The 5,678-nt window shown below is 41.5% G+C and overlaps 1 pseudogene; it reads right to left on the bottom strand.

Annotated features, from left to right (window-relative positions):
* On the bottom strand, positions 4,937-5,333 carry RPL39P33 (ribosomal protein L39 pseudogene 33; annotated as a pseudogene).

The following is a 5,678-nucleotide window of genomic DNA, read 5'->3' as shown; positions in this document are numbered from 1 at the left end:
TAACCTAAGCTTACCCAAGTCATTATTCTATTAGCTGCCTCTTGGTAGATCTTTCAGTAACTTAAGTTCCTCGTATTTACGCAAAAGCAGCGGCTTTTTGTGGTATTAAGCGAGCTGGGAGAGCCAGGGGGTGGGGGTGGGTGGCGGATTTATTTGTAATTACAGTAGGGTTCTTGCTCCCATCCCACCATTCTGCCCATTCACAGGCTCCGGCCAGAGCTGGCGCCAAGATCTCCAAGTTGCCCTGTGTTTATGTCATTGAGACGAGGACAATATTTCAGTGTGGAGCCAAGCCACAGGGATCCACTCTATAAAACCCTCACTAAAAATAGACGTTCCAACCTCTGCCCAGCCCCCCTCCCCGCCTCCGCGACTCCCCCACGCCTGCCCCCAGCACTAGCAGCACCCAGCTTCAATTCGCAGGGAGACAAGCGTGCCAAATCGGTCGAATCTGGGGGCCCGGCGAGCTCTTTTCTTCCTGAGGAGTTTTAACCCAGAATAAAAGGCGTCAATTAGCAGCCTTTAGAGCTGACAGGGCAATTAAAGTTAAATTGCAAGACAGAGGGAGAGCTGGAAGAAGAAGGAAGGAAGGGAAAGGAGAGAGAGAGAGTGAGGAAGAGAGAGATTTCAAATGTATTTTTGGTGACAGCTGCATTTTTGAGGAGGGAGAGCCTCTCAAACTACAACTGGCTGTTTGGATATATTTTCACTTGTGAAGTGATATTTTCAGTGGACACTGATACTCCCAGTTTATTGCACTTTTCATGTTAGATCTGAGCTGCTTGGGAAAATTAAAACAAACACAAAGCAAAAGGATCTTGTCTTTACAAAGGCTCCCAACTGGCTGGGTCCCAACACACCCGTTGCTTTGCAGGGTGAGTTAGATGCAACATGGAATTGTGAGGGTAGATGTGTGGGTGGGTGAGGGCGGTTGGGATAGTCAGCCCTAATTCGGGTTTTGGGGCTCTCAGAGCTTAGAGCTGGTGACTTGGTCATAATGCTTCTGCACACCCCTGGGCTTTCAGCTCAGTTTCCTAGTCCAGGACACCAAGTCAGATTATAAAACTCTTGGGAAATAAAACCTTTTTTGGTCTACTTCTAGGTGACTTTCCTTCACTGATGACGATGGCTGTTTAATTCTTGAATGCTCCTTCTTTTTAACCTAAGCTTACCCAAGCCATTATTCCATTAGCTGCCTCTTGGTAGATCTTTCAGGAACTTAATTTCCTCATATTTACGCAAAAGCAGCAGCTTTTTGTGGTATTAAGCGAGCTGCGAGAGCCAGGGGTTGGGGGTAGGACCTGGGAGGGCTTTGGTTTGGGACCTGGGAGGGCCTGCAACTTTTTGAATGCAGATTGGAATTCATAACAAGAGCAGTATTGATTTGTGATTCAATCTTGCAACATGCCAGCTCAGGGCAATGAAGCCCATTGGAGCTGTGCACAGGGCTGGACCCAAGAGAGAAATGTAACATAATCAGAGCAGGGGTCAGCCTGGGGAAGCTAGAGCTTTGCCCACTTCCACAGCCTCCTACCCCACCACCACTCCCAGCCCCCAACCCCTGGAGGAAACAGGAACTACAGTTCCTGAGAGGGTGTTCTCAAAGTCACCCTTGCTTTGTCGGACCTCAAATTTCAGTCTCCCATCCTACATCTATAGTCCTTTTTTCATGACCCTCCTTCACTGTTTAGGGAAACTACCATTTCTGTCCATGCATTGAATGCAAGCTGGATCCCATTATTATACCTATTTGATGTAAGAGGAAACTGAGGCTAACAAAGATTCAGTAACTTGCTCAGTGTCGCCTAGTTCATAAGAGATGGTGCTGGGATTGGAACTAAGTCTAAATCTCAAGGCTGTGCTCCTTGGGCTGGGCACAGTGGGATTTGTAATCCCAGCAATTCAGGAGGCTGAAGTGGGAGGATTGCTTGAGCCCAGGAGTTTGAGACCAGCTGAGCAACATGGAGAGATCCTGTCCCTACCAAAAAAAAAAAAAATTAGTTGGGTGTCGTGGCACAAGTATGTAGTAGTCCTAGCTACTGGGGAAGCTGAAGTGGGAGGATCCCTTGAGCCCGGGAGGTCAAGGCTGCAGTGAGCCATCACGGTGCCACTGCACTCCAGCCTACACAACAGAGGGAGACCCCATCTCAAAAATAAAAAATAAAATAGGCTGTGATCCTAATCTTCACATGAATCTTCAGAAAAACCTTTTTATTATTTATTTATTTATGAGACAGAGTCTTGCTCTGTCACCCAGGCTGGAGTGCAATGGTGCAATCTTGGCCCACTGCAACCTCGGCCTCCCGAGTTCAAGCGATTATCCTGCCTCAGCCTCCCTAGTAGGTGGGTATTACAGGTGCCCGTCACCATGCCCAGCTAATTTTTTTGTTTTTTTTTAGTGGAGATGGGGTTTTGCCATTCTGGCCAAGCTGGTCTTGAACTTCTGACCTCAGGCGATCCGCCCACCTCAGCCTCCCAAAGTGCTGGAATTACAAGCATGAGCCACTGTGCCCAGCCTGTTATTTATTTATCTTTATTTTTCAAGAAAAAATTTAATGTCAGATTAGGAGAAAGAAAGAAAACTGCATTAAGTACAACTAATCAACTTGAAGGAAATAAAGAAGTGTAACATAAAGAAACCAGAATCAAACGCAATAATCTTACTTTCAGTATGTTTCTTTTTTGTCATTCTTATTACTAAACATAACTATTATATAAATGAATAATAATAAACTTGTGGTAAGTACTAATTGCTTAATAAAGTTTGAGATATGCGTGGTTCATGATTTCAAGAAGCTTATAACCTAGCAGAAGTAATCACCATAATTAAAGCTAGAACTTACTGAACATTTACTATCTAATAAATATTCAACCCATGTTAATTAATTCAAGATTAATTAAATTCTTATTTAATCTGCATAACAATTCTATGTAGTAGGAACTGTTATTATTCCCATTTTACTGACAAGGAAACAGAATTACAGAGTTTTAGTAACTTACCTAGTATCATGGAGGGCTATCTCACCTCTGAGGCTGCACTCTTACCCACAGACAATAAAAGGAAATGGAGCAATATAGGATAATGTATATCTTGATTATCTCAATACCAACCTAAATTCATGACATTAGTTCAATGACAAACAGAGAGAATGCTAGCTTGGTAAGAAAACCTTTTTAATCTAGAATCAGTGCTCACTTTGGAAGTTTTGAAGCTCTTAGTAGAGTGGGACTTGCTGGTCTTAGGACACTTTAAAGACAAAAGTCAACATGCCTGGAATCAGCACTTGTGAGCTGAAAGGACTTGAGAGTGATGTTTAGTGGAAGGTCTCTCCAACTGGGGTCTAGGGTTCCCGGATTTTGGAGAACCTGTTCTCAGGAGTATAATGAGATTAGATATTTGAGACATATCTATCTGGCTCAAGCCCTGCCATTTTGACAGCTCAGGAAGGTGAGAGGCCAAAGGTCACACAGTTAGTTATGGCAGATGAAGTCTTAGCCAGGACTCTATCTTTGTCCAGGACTATTTCTGCTAACTAGTATTTTTCTGACACTGGATTTATAGGTTTACTCACACAGCTTGATGGAAACCCCTTAAGGGCAGGGACTGATTCTTGGAGCTTTAATAGATATTTGGAGAGTGAATGCGTAAAAGCAATTTAGGAGTAGTTATAGGTACGTAAACATTTGATATGCTAATTACAGACCAGTGTTACTTGCACTCAGGGGTATTGATATTTGGCCACAGATCAGTTTCCTAATGTCAATTGCTTAAATCAAGTAAAATCACCTGTCTTTGTATACCCTGAGTTCCTCTCGATTCATTCCACATTCAATAATATTTTATGGAATACCTAATATAGGCCAGGCACTGTTCCAGGTTATAAACAAAATAGACTAATTCCTCACTTCCCTTCCCTATTAACTTTCTTCGTAAGATATTGACAGCCATATACACATGTACTTTTAATGAGATGGGGTCTTGCTATGTTGCATAGGTTGGTCTTGAACTCCTGGGCTCAAAACTATCATTCTGCCTCAGCCTCCCAAATACCAAATAGCTGGGATTACAGGTGTGCACCACCGAGCCTGGCTGATATGCCATATTGCTATTAAATGGGATTTGGTTTGGTTAGAGTTTGATAGAGAGAAGTCCAGTTTGATTTTTCCAACGTGGAGACAATGACTCATCTGATGTATTTTGTTGGCTTGTTTTTTCATATTTTCTTCTATTATGCCTAAATGAATGTTTCTTTCATTTAAAAAATTTAAAAATCACAAAGTAATACACTAAAAAAGTAAATGCAGGAATATAAAAGTAAAAATATGAACGTCTCCCTCATCTCTCCCTTGAGTAACCAGTGTTAATGATGTGGTGGTATATGTTCTTCCCTCATGGTACGTATATACAACAGTCATACAATACACAATATCTACTCATATATAAAGTGGACAACCATCCCTAGAGGGTACAGGGTTGGGGCAATTCAGTCAGTGGGGCTGGCCAGGATAATTATGCTTGATATGGTTCTGCACTTGTAGGCATTTTTTACAAGCCTCTTAGGACATCATTAAGAACAGAAATTTCAAAATTAAATTTTAATGATATTCAGAAAAGAGTAGTCAAATGTAGCACCTTACAGCTCCCTCTCCTTGCCCCACCTTCCCCAAAAGCCTAGGCCCAGAACAGCCTGCACTCTATTTGAGGCCCAAGGGGTAGGTCCCAATTTGAGTTTTCCTTTGTTTCTTTTTCATCTTCTTTTTTTAAACAAAAATGTTTGATCCTATTATCGATGTTATTTTTTTCAACTTGCTTTATTTTTAACACATTTAACCACATGAGTGTTTGTCCATAGGATTACAAGCAGAGTAGCACACTCTTTGTAATGGTTGCATGCTTTTCCGTAGCATGGAGGCATCATGATTATTTATTTATTTATTGAAACGAAAGGTCTCACATATTTATTACTGAACCCAGCCAACCAATGCATTCATAACAGATTCACAAGAGAAAAAAATGTATTCCTGATAAAACATGTCCAACTGTCCAGATAGTGACATTTTCAGCTTGATATGATAAGATGGTAGTGACTTTGACACAGCATAAATATGTGTGGCATCTCATGTGCAATTCCTTATAGACCCAGCTTCCTTCTTCTCCAATGTCTCCTTTTGGAGTTGTATCTGATTTTATTACCAGTTTTCATCCAAATCCACTGGAGAATGAGACGATTCTGCTTTTGTTTCTTGGCCAGGAAACATTTAGTCCTGAAAGTCTTGTGAGAAGACTTGATGAGAAGCGGAGTCAAGCATATACCACGATGGTGGAGAAAGGAGCATGATTTTTTAAAAAACAGTTTTCCTGATAAGAAGCATTTGGCTCTCTACGTTTTTTTCTTTTTATTGTTGTAATAGATAGAGCTGCAGTAGAACAGCTTTGACACATGTCTTCTGCTCACTCGTGAATATTTCTTTAGAATAGAGTCTTAGAAGTGAATTGTTGGATCTGAGGGCTTGTGCATTTGTAATTTTGGTACTGCCAATTTCCCTTTAAAAAGTTCCAATTTGCACACCAACCAGAAGAGTGCCCTTTACCTACTCATACTACACTGGGCATTTTTTGCTATTCATTATGCTAACTCCAGTCGACCATATTCAGTGGGATATGATCAGTGATAGGT

This window comes from Homo sapiens, chromosome 17 (genome assembly GCF_000001405.40).
Source record: "Homo sapiens chromosome 17, GRCh38.p14 Primary Assembly".
NCBI classification, from domain to species: Eukaryota; Metazoa; Chordata; class Mammalia; order Primates; family Hominidae; genus Homo; species Homo sapiens.
This window is presented reverse-complemented; position numbering and strand designations above follow the sequence as displayed.